Below are 17,256 nucleotides of genomic sequence, written 5' to 3' on the forward strand. Positions count from 1 at the left end.
AGTACCAAACCTTAAAGGAACTCTACTACATAATGGGATGAGGTTGTTTATGAATGGGTCATCCTGAGTAATAAATGGTAAAAGACACAATGGCTGTGCTGTCATGAACAAAAACAAACAATCCTTATGTGAAAAAGTTAAATTACTCAATAACTGGTCAGCCCAAACCTGTAAATTTTATGCTTTTAACCAAACCCTAAAGCTCCTAGAAGATCAAGAAGACACTATATATACTAATTCCAAATATGCCTATAAAGTAGTACACACCTTTGAAAAAATCTGGACAGAGCAGGGCCTAGAAAATAGCAGGGCAAAATAATTGGTACATGGGGAACAAGTTTTAGAAAGCCTCCTGTTTCCAGCAGAGACAGCCATAGTTCATGTAAATGGCCATCAGAAAAGAAACACTATAGAAGCTGTAGGGAACAGGCTTGTGGATAAGGCTGCTAAGCAAGTCTCCCTGGAGGAAAAATTTAAACTGTTTAGCCCAGATATCCCTAAGGTGATATTAAAACCCCAATTTTCAAAAGAGGAGGAAAAGCTAGGCAAGATAGGAGCCACTTAAACTAAGAATGGAAGGTGAGTGCTCCCTGATGGGAGAGAAATAATAAACAAACCCATAATAAAAAATCTAATGTTGGCCGGGTGCGGTGGCTCATGCCTGTAATCCCAGCACTTTGGGAGGCGGAGGCGGGTAGATCACAAGGTCAGGAGATCAAAACCATCCTGGCTAACACAGTGAAACCCTGTCTCTACTAAAAATACAAAAAAGTAGCCGGGGCGTGGTTGTGGGTGCCTGTAGTTCCAGCTACTCGGGAGGCTGAGGCAGGAGAATGGCATGAACCCAAGAGGTGGAGCTTGCAGTGAGCCGAGATCGTGCCACTGCACTCCAGCCTGGGTGACAGAGCGAGATTCTGTCTAAAAAAAGAAAAAAAAAATCTAATGTCTATATTGCATAAGGGAAGTCATTGGGGTCCCCAGGACATGTGTGATGAAATACTAAAGAATTATGGGTGTATAGAAATGTATGCCCTGGCTAAACAAGTGTGTGGGAATTGTGTGAACTCCCAGGAAACAACTTAAGGTTAAAAGAACTTGTAACACAAACCCCACCCCTTGAGTTCACAGTTCACCACTTCCAGCCTGGCAACTCAGTGCTAATTAAGACTTGGAAAGAAGACAAGCTCCACCCAAGCTGGGAAGGTCCTTATCAAGTGAGGCAGCTGTACAAACAGCTGATCAGGGGTGGACACATTACACTCGGGTCAAGAAACTGGTTAAAAAAAAAAACGGAAGGTAAATTGGAAGTGTATAGATCACCTAAGAAACCCTTTAAGCTAATTCTAAGGAAAACCTAAAAGTAAGCCATAAGCAGGCTCCATCACTGGGGGCTGATATGGTTAGAATTAATCCTAACACAAGGGGTGAAAGGAAACCTAAGTATTGTATAAGAACCACACGCCACCTAACTGTAAAAATTTAAAGTGCAATCCTATATTAATTACTATAAACAACCCAGCTACTCTAAACCAGAAATCTTGAAGGTATAAATTAAAAATAAATATCTCAGAAAGGAATCCCGTGGGACGGTTAGCTTTTAGGTTAGTCACCAACTCTACCCCAAGCCCACCCAGAATTACTAGAACTCCTGGTCCCATTAACTTCCTTTAACCCACCAAACAATAAACCTAAGAGAGTAAAAATAATTAAAGTAACTGACTTAAGGCAGACTTTAAAAATTAAAACAGGATATAGAGACATAAATGCCTGTGTTAAATGGGTGAAATTTTCAGCACAAGCCCTCGATAAAAGTAACTGTTATGCATGTGCTGCTGGTCAACCTCAGGCACAGGTGGTTCCATTTCCCCTTGGAGGGGATACTAATCCCAAAGGAATGTGTTGCGTGTTGGCTGTATACCAAGACAAGGTTGCATGGGGAAATAAGACTTGTAAAAGTCTGTCATTGCTCTTTCCCACTTTGCAGAGATCAGATCCTAAAGCAATCCCCTCATTCTCTATAGGGAATATAAATCACTCCTGTTGTCACTCTAGACAGAAGGTGAGGTTCGATAAACCTGTGGGAAAACTCGCAACCTGCACCCACATCCTAAATGTCACTGGTAACCCAGACTGTGGCAACCATTCAACTCTCCATATACCCCAGGCAAATGTCTGGTGGTATTTCGGGAAAGGGAACCTCCGTAACTTGTTACCGTCCAATTGGACCGGGACTTGTGCTTTAGTACAATTGGCCATTCCGTTCACCCTGTCATTCCATGAAACAGCTAAAAATACACATGGTCATAGAGATCAGAGTAATTTAGCAATTTATTTTAACCCATATATAATGTGTGTGTGTATATATATATACACACACACACACACAAACATATACATATACATATATATACACACACATATATATATACACACACACACACACATATATATATATACACACACACATACACACAAGGCTTCTGGAACAGTGGATGAAAGCTTTGTATATCTATCTATCCATCTATCTATCTATTTATCTATCTAAACTCCATAGGAGTACCTAGAGGAGTGCCTAATAAATTTAAAGCACGAAACCAAATACCTGCTAGATTTGAGTCAGCACTTTTCTGGTGGTCAACTATTAACAAGAATGTAAATTAGATTAATTACATGTCTTATAATCAGCAAAGATTCATCAATTACACGCAAAATGCCCTTAAGGGAGTAGCCAGACAACTAAATGCCACTAGCTAAATGGCTTGGGAAAACAGAATTACACTGGACATAATATTAGCAGAGAAAGGTGATATATGTGATATGCTGGGTGGAAAATGTGACACTTCCATTCACAACAATGCTGCCCCAAATGGAACCATCATAAAGGGATGGCAGGGACTAACAACTCTAGTCAACGAGCTGGCAGAAAACACAGGAGTAAATGACCTTTTTACTAACTGGTTAGAAGGTTGGTTTGAAAAATGGAAAGGAATGGTACCTTCAATTCTTACATCTCTCGTGATTATGGCTGGGGTCTTAACAGCCATAGGATGTTGTATCATACCTTGTGTGAAGGGTTTATTTAACACAAAGGTTAATTAAAGCAGCTATTAGTAAACAAATGCCCCTAATGTCCCAACAGAATGACTTACTATTATTAAAAGCCAAACTAAACTTCTCCTCCTATAATGAAGAAAGTAAAAAACTTCCAGAACAGTTAATAAACAAAGATATGTAAGTGAAAATAAGACCAAAAAGGGTAAAAAGAAAAAGAGGAGGTAAGTGTAAAAAATAACTTACATGTGAAGAAGGTTCATTTTCATAAGTGCCTTAGAATATGTTTAAGCAGGCCACATGGAAACAAAGAGATAAAGAAGCAAAATATACTAAGCCACAATCCCCTCCTTCCTGCTTTCCCTTTGACCCAGTGTCCAGGAGCCTACTGGTCAGGGCCCCCTCAATGACCCCCCTCCCCACCTCACCAAAGAATTTAGTTTGGGCTAGCTTGCCATCACCTAAGTGCAGTCACTAAGGCCGTAAGTCAAATGCTCAGAGTCTTGAGACAGTTGCCATGTATTATGGGTGGCTGCAACAAAATGCAGCAAAAAATGCAGCAAAAAGACCCTAAAGAACATACCTGAAGTCTTAATACAACTACCAATAGGTGATGCCCAGGAAGACTATAACCCCGTAGTACTCAGCTAATGAGGAATTGGGGAAGGGACTTGCACACTAGGGAAGAAATAGTTTGTTGAAACTGTCCCAGGTGTACCTGCACTCCAGACACCTGATCTTGCAAGACTGTCATTAAAAGTCTCTCTTTCGCTGTTCTCTGGGTCTCTGAGTCTATTCTTTGGGTTTGAATGGGTGAGTTTCTTTCTCACAGGGATGTAGATGGCAACGTGGCTCTCATTCCCCTCCCAAATACCCCAACTTTCATCGCCTGTTCCAGAAGCCTTGTCACCTACAAGCCTATCTGCACAGAAGGTATGAGGGGACCCTACAGCCCAGACAGGGACCCTCCCATCTCTAGCAACTGTCCCCTTTTCTCACCTGGACCCTCTGCACCTGATGTTGTCTTCTTCTTGCATCAAAGGACACAGAGAATAATAATACTACTAATAATACTAATGATGATGAAAGCAGCAACAGCAGCAACATATGGAATGGCTGGTCATCAACTCTGAAGCACCAGGGCCATCCCTGAAAAAAAGGGCCTATTACACACTGGGCACCCACAGCCACAGCCGTTCCTGCTGCCCCCACCCTGGCCTGATCCTCCTTATGTTGGAACCCTCAAGGGTGGTCCCAGGTTCACTAGAGGACACAGGGTGAGTGCTGTGATTCCTGCTGTATCCCATGGAGCAGATGACCCTCTGCTCCTCTCCTTGGGGAATCCTGCAGGCCACCTCTGTGTGGTAGGTCCCATCCCATTGGACAGAACACCCCAAGACTGCTGGGCATCCTGGCTCAAAGACGCCCCATCCTGTCACCAGGTCAGAGAGATATTCTGGAGATACAAGCCAGAGCCCAGCATATCAGGGTGATGTTGCCCTCCAGGGCCTCACTGCAGGCCACACTCATGGTGGAGGAGTGGGGGACTGGAGAAGAAAGGGCAGAGACAATGAGGCACATGGCCAAACCCTGCTCCCCTCTAATGGAGATGCAGGGAATAGGGCTGGTCCGCTCCACTGCTCCGACTCTGGCAGAAGTCCTCACGGACCCCAGACCTTCTGCAAGTCTGTCCTCACCCTGGGGACCAATTCCTCAAGGCTGGCAGAAGGATGGGCCTCGAGACTGTGTCTTTATGCTCTGGGATCCCTGCATTGATGCTGAGGAGGGGAATGTCAGGGCTGGGCTCCTGGTACATGGGGCCAGAGGGAACTCTTAGGGATGGGCAGGCTGGGAAGCAGATGGGGCAGCCTTGGCCCTGGGGGCTTCCTCTCCTGCCTGACACCCACCCAGGTTCAGGCTTCTGTCAGAGGGCCCACTGCTTCCCCAGATTGTGACACTGGACCCTTCAATCCCTGACCCACTGTCTTTTTCCAGTGGCTCTAACAGGAGAGAAAAATCAGGATATAACACACCAACAGAAAACACATGCATCCATAGCACAAGGAGGGTTTCCCTGGACAGAGTTGGGGGTCGGGGTGACTCTAGTGGAATAGGGGAGAGGAAAGCCCCTACCCAGGCCCAGTACCTGCTCTCCTGACACCCACACAGGATTCCAGATACTGCTGTAGTTTCTGCCTGCAGTCTACCCATATAGGGTGAGAGTGTGTCTCGGCCGGCATAGCATCTTCCTTCTAGAAATTTGTGATGTTCATAGCAAAGGTCTGAGTTCTGGAGGACTGGGATACTGTCCATTCCTGAGTCTCCAGGTTGAGAGAGAGGAAGAGCTACCCATAAGAGTAGGAAAGCCTAGAGCCCCTGGTGCTGCTGGCTTCCTGATCTCACAACCCCTAATCTCCTGGAGGGAATGCAAGGCTACCCCCACCCAGCAGTTCCAAGTGAGGAACTCAGACCAGAGGAGACCCCTCCCTGGCCCTCCTCCATGCCTTTCTGTGTGGGCTGAGTGCCAGGTTACCTCCCCACCGAGCTCTGCTGACCCCTATTCCTCACCCCTGCCCCCAGCCAGATCCAGTGGGGACAGACAGGTCCCTGCTCTCTGCCCCCAGCTCTCCTGGAAAAGGTCTCCCATCACTCTTGCCTGCTGCCACCTCTCACCTCCCTTCTGTCCCTTGATATATGCCAGGGCCCTTCTGAGGTCCTGCCCATTCTCTGTCAAGTCCTCAGTCTCTGTGTCCCAGGTCTCAGCTCCCAGAACTGCTTCTGCCCACTGTCCCCGGGACCCAGCCCTGCCTTTCTGCCTGTTGAAGAGCAGGAAGGGCTGACCATCCAGATGTCCCTCAGCAAGAAACCCTGACTGCACAGATCCATCCCGGGACAGCACCGTGAGGTTGTAATGAAGACTGTGGGGCCCTGGGGAACAAGAAACCACGGATGAAACTTCTTCCTGGAAGTAACTTCACATTGATGTTTAACACACAGGTCTGCTGTCTCAACCTTTCTGAGGAGGCAGGAAATGTACATATGCAAAGGGACAAGAATGAGGATTTCAGATACAAGGAAAACTGGGAGGGCAGGAGGATGGAGGAGCAGACTGAGGAACAGAAGAAGGGGGAATGGAGATGGCAAACATGTAGGCCAGCTGCCAAGGCAGGGTGGCTACAGGCCACCTAAGGGTATAGGGAGGAGGCCAAGGAGAGAGGCTGCCCTGCAGTGGTGAGGGAGGAGCACGAAGGCAGTGGTGGAAGGAAGGTCTTGCCAGAGGGGAGGGTGGAAATGGGAAGGGACCCAGGCTCAGAGGGACCCATGACCAGCATGGCTGTGCTACACAGGTGAGGGTGAGATGGAGTCGCGGGCCGCTGCCTTTGAGGAAGGCTCATCATGTACAAGATGGGAGTAAGGGAGGATCAGTGCATCTTTTCCAGAAACAGTGCCAGGAAAACGACATTCACATGCAAAAAGAAATGAAGTTGGACTCCTGACTTACACCACATATACAAGTTAACTCTAAATAAATCAAAGACCTACACTCAGGAACTAAAACTGAAAAATTCTTAGAATGAAACATTGGGAATAATCTTCATGACATAGGTTTTGACAACACTTTTATGGATATAACACCAAAGCACAGACAACAAAGAAAAAATTGATAAGTTGGACCCATCAAAATAAAAAAAATTGAGCATTAAAAAACACAATCTGCAGAGTGAAAAAGCAACCATTAGAATGGAAGAAAATATTTGCAAATCATTTATCTAATAAAAGATTAATATCCAGAATACATAAAGAATTCCTGTAACACAAACATAAGACTCAAAAAAACTATGTAGGCAAAGAATTTGAATAGCCAATTCTCCGAAGAAGACATACAAATGGCCAATAGACACATGAAAAGATGCTCAACATCTGTAGTTATTAGGGAAATGCAAATCAAAACTGCAATGGGCTACTACTTCACACCAATTAGGATGGCTATAATCAAATACACACACACACACACACGCACACACAGAGAGAGAGAGAGAGAGAGAGAGAGAAAGCAAGTTTGGCAAAGAGGTAGAGAAACTGGAACATTTGTGTAGTACATTGGGAAAGACAAAGTGGGGCACCTGCTATGGAAATCAGTGTGTTGCTTCCTCCAAAAACTAAAAAATTAATTACTATGTAATCCAGAAATTCTACATCTGGGTATTTACCCAAAAGAAATGAAAGCAGGAACATTAAAAAGATATTTGAACACTCATGTTCATAGCAGCATAATTCCCAATAACCAAATTCATAGAGACAGAAAGTAGAACCAGTGGTTCCAGGGGCCAGGGGGAAGGAGGAATGGGGAGCTACTGTTTAGTAGGCACAGAGTTTCAGGATGCACAAAAATGTGAATGTACTTAATGCCACTGAACTGTACACTTTTAAATGGTGAAAATAGTGAACTTTATATGTATATTTTACAACAATTAAACAACAAAAAAGAAATTGTCACCGCGTACCAAACAATAATATAGAATTAGAAAGAGGCTGGGGTCCTGGTCAGAGAGAAAAAAACCAAGGCCTGAGGAAGGGCCTTCAGAGAGGAGTGGTGCTGAAGGCGGAGCAGTCACACTCCAAAAGAGGGCTCAGGTTAGAAAACCCTCACAGGAGGAAGGTGGTGCTGGGAGAAGGCCCAGAGGAGGGGATGACCACAGCCCACTATGTGGTAAGTGAAGATTTTGGATATGAAGTCTAGGAACTGACAGCCCACCGGGGTCAAGGAACCGAAAGAGGATGAGGGTCAAGGAGCCGTTGGACTAGAGCCTGTTTTGGGTCTGGGTGGGGGTGAGGAGATGGGCAGGGCAAGGACTAAAGGGTGGCATGAGAAGGAAGTGGGGGTGACCCTGGGAGAACTTGGGGTAAAGTGAGAACAGGAAGGGAGGGGTTGTCTGGGGGAGGGTGGGGTTTGGGGAAGGTGAGAACTTGCTGAGGGCCGAAGGCAGCTGGTCAAGAGGTGGGAACAGCATAAGGTCCCAAGGCAGAGAGGGGCAGAGGGACCAGGGAGGGATGGTCCAGCACCTGAGGGTTTCAGGGTGGGGTCCTCAAGAGGGTGAGGCTGAGGATGAAGGAGTGGGGAACGGGTCACCTGAGGCAGGGCCCAGAGCAGGCATCTGCACTGGAGGGGAGGGGGCATCTGCGCTGCCCTGCGCCCTGCCTAAGGCCCAACTTTCATTAGCACCAGGGCTCCCCTTAAGTGGCCTGGAGGGGAGTGGGATGGAGGGAAGACTCCCCCGACAAAAGGCAGCACCAGAAAGTTAGGGTCAGGGACAGCTGGGAATGGAGAGGCATAGGGGCAGCACTGGGTGAAGGCTGCTTGTAGGAAAGGCCCATAAGGGAGGCAGGAGGGACGGGAGCAGGGGATGAGGGCAGAGGACACCCTACAAATGGATCAGAGAACTGCAGATAGAAAGGGGTAGCAGGGAGCAGGGAGGGCAACAGGACCCAGGGGGCCATGAGAAAGGAAGCTGAGGAAGTAGGAGGGAACTTGGTGTCCTTAGATCATTGGAGTCCACAGTAGCTGGGAGGGTTGACAGAGAGGAAAGAACCCTGGGAACGGGAGGCGAAGGGATAATGAGCTGGGGATGGGAGCAGTCGCAGGAAGAATCCTCTGCCTGGAGCCGGCAGGCTCCAACCCCTCAGCTTGAGAGTCAGGAGCCCCATAGTCCCCACAGCAATAGGAAGCACCAGCTCCTGGTCCCGAAAAAAGGAGGGCCCCAACTCCAGGGACTGCGGCCCGCCCTGGAGCTGAGAACACGCGGACTCCAGGGAGAGGACAGGGCTTCAGGGACCCGAGAGCCGCTCTGAGCACCGGGGGATGTGACTGCCTCAGCGGCAGAGCTGGAAGGGCCCTCGAATGCCATTCACAGGAACAGCCCAGGAACCCAGGGACTTCAGAAGGGCTGGTTTGTCCGAAAAGTGAGAGGAGGCGGAGGAGAGGTGAGGAGAGCAAGTGCAAGAAGAGACCAGAAAGTGCAGGGGGTGGGGGTGATGCGCGATCCCGAGGAGGACTGAAAAGAGACTGAAAAGCAGGGCTGAGGAGTGGCGGCAACCGGCAGCGTCCAGCTCCCGCACCTCGCTGCACATCGCACCTGAGCCCCGCCGCGACCGCATCGCGCTCGCTGCGACCCATTCAGACCCCCCAGAAACGCCAAGCCGCTCCCGCTCTAGCCGAGGGCTAGAACAATCCTGCCACCTCAGCCTCCTGAGTAGTTGGGACTACAAGCGAGTGCCACCACGTCCAGCTGTCATTTACCATCTGGTACCAACCCCCATTAGACAATGAACCATCCATGATCACGAACTGTGTCCCTTCCATCTTCGTCAGCTTTAGGAGCATTTTTTTTCCCAATGGAACTCCACCTATGATTACTAACCATTCCCCAGGACCCCTAGCCTACACTTTTCTGTAGATGAAAATGTCATACACCACAGAGTTTTAACAATTACTTAGTTTTCCCATCCACATTCACTGATTATTTATTTCGAGCATTATCATTTATTGAGCACAGCAGGGACTGGGGTCTTGTCCCCACCTTAGAGGGATTATTTACACTGCTAAAGGTCACAAGGGTAGTGAGGGGCAGAGAGGGAGATGGACCCAGCTCTCCTGACGCTGGTCCCAAGCTCTTCCCTCCACAGTGTCTACCCTCTCTCGAGGACTTTTTCTCCCTGCGGCAGTTCCAGCAAAGGATCTCATTCAGCTCACCCCCAAGAAGACTTTTAATACTTCAATGACGATGATACTAATAATAATATGCAAAGTTTGTTCCAACGCATTTAGAGGTGATCGCGACAAGACATGAAGCCAATCCCTCCCTTTCTGGGGCAGGGGAGGCAGTGATGATCTTGGACTTTGGATGAGTCGCTCCCCAGGGTCTAGGCCTGGCTGCCCCTCCCCAACCAAATCTCCCAGGTCTTTTCTGTCCAAAGCCCTCCCCCTCTACCCTACCTCCAGCTCCTTCTGCTCTGAGCCATCAACTACGTTTTCTCCCTCAGCACTCGCCTTAGATTCCTGGACTTACCAGCACAAAGGTGATTTTCTCCTCGCAGACTGTAGGCGCCACTGCTGGGTCCGGAAAAGAAAGAGAAAAGGCCCAGCGTGGTCGCGTGTGTAACTCAGGACGCGGCTGCGCTGGGCGCCCGAGCGCGTTCTCAGGACTGCGGCCCGGAGTTCACTGCGAGGACTGGGATCACCCATCACCCCGCCCTGGTCTACGGAAAATGACAAGTGTTTACTGATATAGAAACGGAATAACGGCGCTGTGGGCTGGGGAGGGCCGAGCTGCCTTCAGGGTTCTGGTCTCCAGCTGCGCGGCACTCACACCTGCCGCTGTGAAAATGCAGACCCACGGGGCAGGAATTCCGAGTCCCGGCTGGAGCGCGATCTGGAATCTGACTCGCTTGAAACAGCACCGCGGTGGATTCGGAGCCGGGTGAGCAGGGAACTGCGCCTCAGCCCCTCCCACGGGCCGCCCACTGATTCCAGGATCCGAAAACGCTTCCAGCTGCTCCGTCACCCCAGGAAGGCAGCGCCGGCCTCTGGGCGGTTCTGGTGGAAACGGGCTCCGCCGCCCGCAGGAAAACTCACAACTAAGGGACCAGGAAAAAGCCTCTCAGGGTCGCGCGCCTTCAGTGAGGATCCTAATTTACACCCCGAGTGTGGCCCCGTCAAAGACTAGAGCGAAGGTCACTGAAATGACACAAGATCAGCGAGGCCCAGGGCGCTGCCGCTCACAGAATGCGGAGACACGGCTGCCTCGCGTCCCTTCCCTGACCTGCCCCAGGCGGACGCGGTGACGTGTGTTTGCCTCGAGGCTGGAATACATGGGGATCAAATGCAGAGAATGGAGAAAGGAGGGAAGGATGGGGGGACATTTCGAGGAAAGGAAGGGAGAGGGAGAAAAGGGGAGAGAAAAGGTGAAGGTGAGAATAATATCTGAAAGATGTAGTTTTATTATTTCTAATTTTATTTTTGCCCTTTATCTAGTTTTGTTATTTATGAACATTTTTACCAAAGCTTTTTTTTCTCTGTGTGTGAATCTGTAAATATACGGCTTATTATTCTTATTTCAGAGCCTGCGAGGTCAAGCTGCAGAGAACATGAGCTTCTACCTCCAGATGTGCCAGGGTGCATCTCGTGGGTGCAAGAACAAGGGTTTTGTTTTGTTTTACAAAATCAAAGTACAAATCTCAAATAGAATAATATTTTTAAACCATTATTGGGACATACTTTGCACACAATCAGTGTATCTATTTGAAATGCACAGCTCATTGAGTTGTACTGCTTGGCTGTTTTACACACCCACATATCCACTACCACAATGAAGATAAAGAAATAACATTTCCATAGTCCCCTAAAGAATAGCCACGCGATAAAATTCCACGCAGTCCTTAAAAAGAGGAGGATAAATTTGTAAGTATTGTTATGAGAAGATCTGTGCCCAGCCTACTTTTATCCATTTTTAAAAGGACGAGGATATATGGAATTATAATACCAGTAATACCACTTACATAATATATATTTTAAGTAGGGGAAAACATGGAGGATTATTCCCCAAAATTTTGACAGGGACCCCAGGGACTGGGATAACGTTGTGACTTTCACCTTCTCTGAAATGTTGGAATTTTATATTACAGAATAAACTTGGATTTTGGCCAGGCGCGGTGGCTCAGGCCTGTAATCCCAGCTCTGGAAGCTGAAGGATAGCTTGAGCCCAGGAGTTCGAGGCTGCAGTGAGCTATGATCTCACCACTACACTCCAGCCTGGGTGACAGCAAGAGATCTTGTCTCAGAAATAAATAAATAAAATTTAAAAATAAAAATAATAAACTTGGATTTGTGTGGTGGTTAAGAAAAAATATTTGTTTGAAAATATTATAAAGATAAGCCACACACCCAAATAGTTACAGGATTTTAAAAACCAAAGTGTTAATTAAAACCCAACTCCAGAAACTCTCTTTTAAGGGGGCTTCATATTTTCATGTCATTAAATCTTTCTCAAAGTATCTTTGATAGAGCCGTTTTTAGTGCAGTAGAGAGATGTGTAACAATTTTACAAAAGGGGCGGGCTGTAATAAAAAGGGAAAGGCAAAATCCAGTGTGGACACACTGTCCCATTTATTTTCAAAGCACGTTTGAAAACTGCGCTGCTATAGCGTCTTTGGGTTGAGACAAAGTCGAGGAAAATCTTGTTCCTGGAGTACTGATTTCCTTTTTCCCAGGGCCAAAGTCTAAAACTCAGAAGCAAGTCTAAAAACTCAGGCTGACTTTCAGATCTGAAGAAATCTCAAGAATATTTGTGTGGAAGAACATTCCATGCTAATGGGTAGGAAGAATCAATATCGTGAAAATGGCCATACTGCCCAAGCTAATTTATAGATTCAATGCCATCCCCATCAAGCTACCAATGACTTTCTTCACAGAATTGGAAAAAACTACTTTAAAGTTCATATGGAACCAAAAAAGAGCCTGCATCACCAAGTCAATCCTAAGCCAAAAGAACAAAGCTGGAGGCATCACGTTACCTGACTTCAAACTATACTACAAGGCTACAATAACCAAAAGAGCATGGTACTGGTACCAAAACAGAGATATAGATCAGTGGAACAGAACAGAGCCCTCAGAAATAACACCACATATCTACAACTATCTGATCTTTGACAAACCTGAGAAAAACAAGCAATGGGGAAAGGATTCCCTATTTAATAAATGGTGCTGGGAAAACTGGCTATCCCTATGTAGAAAGCTGAAACTGGATCCCTTCCTTACATGTTATACAAAAATTAATTCAAGATGGATTAAAGACTTAAACGTCAGACCTAAAACCATAAAAACCCTAGAAGAAAACCTAGGCATTACCATTCAGGACATAGGCATGGGCAAGGACTTCATGTCTAAAACACCAAAAGCAATGGCAACAAAAGCCAAAATTGACAAATGGGATCTAATTAAACTAAAGAGCTTCTGCACAGCAAAAGAAACTACCATCAGGGTGAACAGGCAACCTACAACATGGGAGAAAATTTTTGCAATCTACTCATCTGACAAAGGGCTAATATCCAGAATCTACAATGAACTCCAACAAATGTACAAGAAAAAAACAAACAACCCCATCAAAAAGTGGGCAAAGGATATGAACAGACGCTTCTCAAAAGAAGACATTTATGCAGCCAAAAGACACATGAAAAAATGCTCATCATCACTGGCCATCAGAGAAATGCAAATCAAAACCACAATGAGATACCATCTCACACCAGTTAGAATGGCAATCATTAAAAAGTCAGGAAACAACAGGTGCTGGAGAGGATGTGGAGAAATAGGAACACTTTTACACTGTTGGTGGGACTGTAAACTAGCTCAACCCTTGTGGAAGTCAATGTGGTGATTCCTCAGGGATCTAGGACTAGAAATACCATTTGACCCAGCCATCCCATTACTGGGTATATACCCAAAGGACTATAAATCATGCTGCTATAAAGACACATGCACACGTATGTTTATTGCGGCACTATTCACAATAGCAAAGACTTGAAACCAACCCAAATGTCCAACAATGATAGACTGGATTAAGAAAATGTGGCACATATACACCATGGAATACTATGCAGCCATAAAAAATGATGAGTTCACGTCCTTTGTAGGAACATGGATGAAATTGGAAATCATCATTCTCAGTAAACTATCGCAAGGACAAAAAACCAAACACCACATGTTCTCACTCATAGATGGGAACTGAACAATGAGAACACATGGACACAGGAAGGGGAACATCACACTCTGGGGCCTGTTGTGGGGTGGGGGGAGAGGGGAGGGATAGCATTAGGAGATATACCTAATGCTAGATGACGAGTTAATGGATGCAGCACACCATCATGGCACCTGTATACATATGTAACTAACCTGCACATTGTGCACATGTACCCTAAAACTTAAAGTATAATAATAATAATAATAATAATAATAATAATAATAATAATAATAAAGACCAAAAAAAAAAAAGAATGTTTGTGCGGACAGCTACGCTCTAAGAATCCAGCTCTCTTGGGCTCCAAGCTCAAGCTCTCTGGGGCTTCACCCAGTGACAATGGCCGGAAGGACAGGACACAGTGAAATGGCACCAGTGAGTCAGAGGCCAAAGGAGGATTTCTGGCCCCAGCGCGCAGGATGTGCTTTGTTATAGTGGGGTTGGGATAGCGGAGCGGAGGCAAGGACACTCTGGGAATAAATGGCGAGAAAAAGTGCGCTAGGGAGGATCCAAAGCCTTCAGACTTCTTCCTTTCCTTCCTGTTGGGTGGGAGGGGACCAACATGGTCCCTGGTGGGGAGGTCCGTGGGATGCAGAGAATGGGGTCGCTGCAAAGGGGCGTTGCGCGCCCCACGCAAGGCTTCTGGCACTCTTCTCCTAGCTACTACTGATGAGTTCAAACTAGCAGGAGACTAAGACGTGTCCTTTGCAATGTAGACTCCATATCTTGCACTTCGGCTGGTTTACTAAATCCATCTTAATAAAACACAAAAACAAAGAACCAAATTCTGCGTGTGATATTTCTGACCTCTAGAAGGTCCTCCCTCTCCCCATTCCTCGTGGGCTCCCTTCTTGCCCCGCCCCCTCCGCTTTGTCTCCACTTCTCCATCCCTGTCCATCTCTGGACCCCGCTCCTGAGTATCTCCCCCCTTCTTCAGAGGACTTCCCCTCATGGAGTACAGACTCCTCCACCTCCAGGAAAAAGAGACAAAGTCCACTGAGAAGGAACTGAGAGACTCCTGTTACTCCACCCCTGAAGTCAGCCTGTCCCACAACGCTCACTCAGGCTGCATGTGTGTGTGTGTGTGCCTGTGTGTGTGTGCCCGTGTGTGTGAATCTGTGTGTGAGAGTGTGTCTAAATATGTGTGTGAATGTGTGTGCGACTGTGTGTGCCTGTGTGTATCAGTTAGCGTGTGTATCTGTATATGAGAGAGAGTGTGTGTGTATGTGTGTGTGTGTGTGCGTGAATGAGAGTCAAAGTGCTAAACCTGGCATCCAGGAAACCTCCCCACCTTGGCACTGCACGCAGGAGTCAGTGTTATGTGCACCTGTGCTTTTATTTCAGGAGCTGAGACAATTGTATTAATCAGATGTGCAGAGAGCCAAGGGCCCCACGCTGGAAAGCATCAGAGAGGAGGGTGAGATTGGAGGAGCCCCTGACTCCAAGTCTCTTGATCACTCTTACACAGGGATCTTGAAAAAAAAGTGCAGGACACTCCGTTCTCTCCTGGGAGTGACAGGGAAGCCAGAGCCACTGTGCGTGTCAAATTCCATCAAAGAAAAACCATTATAGCAAAACTTCCATGTCACAGTTTTAAGCCTGCACAATGACTCAAATAGAACCAATACCAAAAAAACAAATTCCTAGCTCAGGTGAGGTCAGTGAAGTTGGCTGTCAGGTGTAAAGGAAACTGCAGGTATAAAGAAGGACACCTGTAGATAGGGCTGCAGCCCAGTCGCCCCTGCATCTTAGGGCGCCTGGAAAGGACTGTCTCCATTCAATAGTGCAGGGTGAGGACATTTTGGGGGAGAAATATAGACTGTCCTTAGACCCCTGGGGTTTGTACATTTACTTTCTGACTTTTTAGCTGTTGACTTCATTTTTGAACAAATTACAGTTACATAAATTTGCTTTGACTTTAAGTGTAAAACAGGAAAATATTCCTGAAACAGGAAACAAGGGCCAAGTGACCTGCACTGTCACCCCCCTCTGTGGCTCCCTGATGCAACACAATTGTGAGCCAACAAATCTATGGCTAGGGAAACAGTCAACTCCATTTCTGCAAATGTTTCAGATGTTCCTTCTTGCTGAGTAATGTTCTAGTTTTACCCCAGCCTTAATATTTTAAGTCTATATTTTCCCAGCTGTTTTTTTTGTTGTTGTTGTTGTTTTTGAGAAGGAGTCTCATTCTGTCACCCAGGCTGGAGTGCAGTGGCACGATCTCGGCTCACTGCAACCTCCGCCTCTCAGGTTCAAGCGATTCTCCTGCCTCAGCCTCCCCAGTAGCTGGGATTACAGGGGCCCGCCACCACGCTTGGCTAATTTCTGTATTTTTAGTAGAGATGGGGTTTCACCGTGTTGGCCAGGATGGTCTCAATCTCCTGACCTCGTGATCTGCCCGCCTCGGCCTCCCAAAGTGCTGGGATTACAGGCATGAGCCACTGCGCCAGGCCTTGTTGGTTTTTAAATAATGCATGTATATTTATTATTTGGTTTGTTGTAGTAAGCCATCTGGAATCAACTGTGGAAATAAATGAATGGTTCTCTATTAAATAACTGCTGAGACCATCTGAAAAATGTATTAACCCCAAAACCAATCACTTCACACTCGTCTACTGCCTCCTCCCCAGAGCCATTCTCTCTAGGATAGTAAATCCGACGGGCCTTCCAGCTGGGCTGCCTGCTGCATCTCATGCAGCTGTCCATCACCCACACAACAGGCAGAGTGAAGCTTTCGAATGGGAATTAGAGCCCATCCTCACCACCACATCCCAGAGACACTCCAGCCTCTTCCCTTCCTCTCTCCATTTCCTATTAGCCCCTCAACACGGGGCCCCTCTGGCCATTCTGGCCTCATCTCACCACTCTCAGCCCAGATCACTCATCTGCACTCGCACCAGTCTCTTGTCACTGCTCAATCCTGTCTCTGCCACCGGCCCCTGCTGGTACTCCCACATGCACTTGCTCCCTAGGGATCCACATGGCTCACTCCTCATGCCATTCAGTTCTCTGCTCAAATGTCCCTTAGTCAAGTTCTCAGGAACCTCTTATCCAACAAAATATATCTCCTGCCATCCTCACCACCACCAATCTTCTAACCCGAGTATATTTTCTCCATAACAATTATCACTGATATTAGAATAAATTTGAAAGTTGTTGTCTGTACCACTAAAACATATTATTTGAGGCCAGGACCTTGTCCAGCCACCACTTGTATCCCTAGCATCTAGAACATACCAGTACAGAGGAGGGGCTTAACAAATAAGAGGTGAATGATGGGTGAATATAATTGGTATGCTGCTTTTGATAAGCAATTTTATAACATGTGTGTCCGAGGCGGGTGGATCACCTGAGGTCAGGAGTTCGAGACCAGCCTGACCAACATGGTAAAACCCCGTCTTTTCTAAAAATAAAA

General features: G+C 46.8%; 1 long non-coding RNA gene and 1 pseudogene across 1 annotated transcript, besides 2 other annotated features; one reads left to right on the plus strand and one right to left on the minus strand.

Annotated features, from left to right (window-relative positions):
- MICD (MHC class I polypeptide-related sequence D (pseudogene)) lies at window positions 3,888–9,261 on the minus strand (annotated as a pseudogene).
- Window positions 8,408–9,058: an enhancer, noted in NCBI's record as "H3K4me1 hESC enhancer chr6:29942669-29943319 (GRCh37/hg19 assembly coordinates)". NCBI's record gives its function as "activates a minimal SCP1, AML or CMV promoter by ChIP-STARR-seq in primed H9 embryonic stem cells {active_cell/tissue: H9 hESC(primed)}" and the evidence as "EXISTENCE:reporter gene assay evidence [ECO:0000049][PMID:30033119]".
- On the plus strand, window positions 8,631–11,919 carry HCG9 (HLA complex group 9). Its single transcript, NR_028032.1, has 3 exons — window positions 8,631–9,033; window positions 11,170–11,233; window positions 11,734–11,919. It is a non-coding gene; the product is annotated as an HLA complex group 9 (long non-coding RNA).
- Window positions 9,059–9,708: an enhancer, noted in NCBI's record as "H3K4me1 hESC enhancer chr6:29943320-29943969 (GRCh37/hg19 assembly coordinates)". NCBI's record gives its function as "activates a minimal SCP1, AML or CMV promoter by ChIP-STARR-seq in primed H9 embryonic stem cells {active_cell/tissue: H9 hESC(primed)}" and the evidence as "EXISTENCE:reporter gene assay evidence [ECO:0000049][PMID:30033119]".
- Window positions 11,920–17,256: the final 5,337 nt, after the last annotated feature.

The sequence above is a fragment of the Homo sapiens genome, chromosome 6 (assembly GCF_000001405.40).
Source record: "Homo sapiens chromosome 6, GRCh38.p14 Primary Assembly".
Classification (NCBI taxonomy): Eukaryota; Metazoa; Chordata; class Mammalia; order Primates; family Hominidae; genus Homo; species Homo sapiens.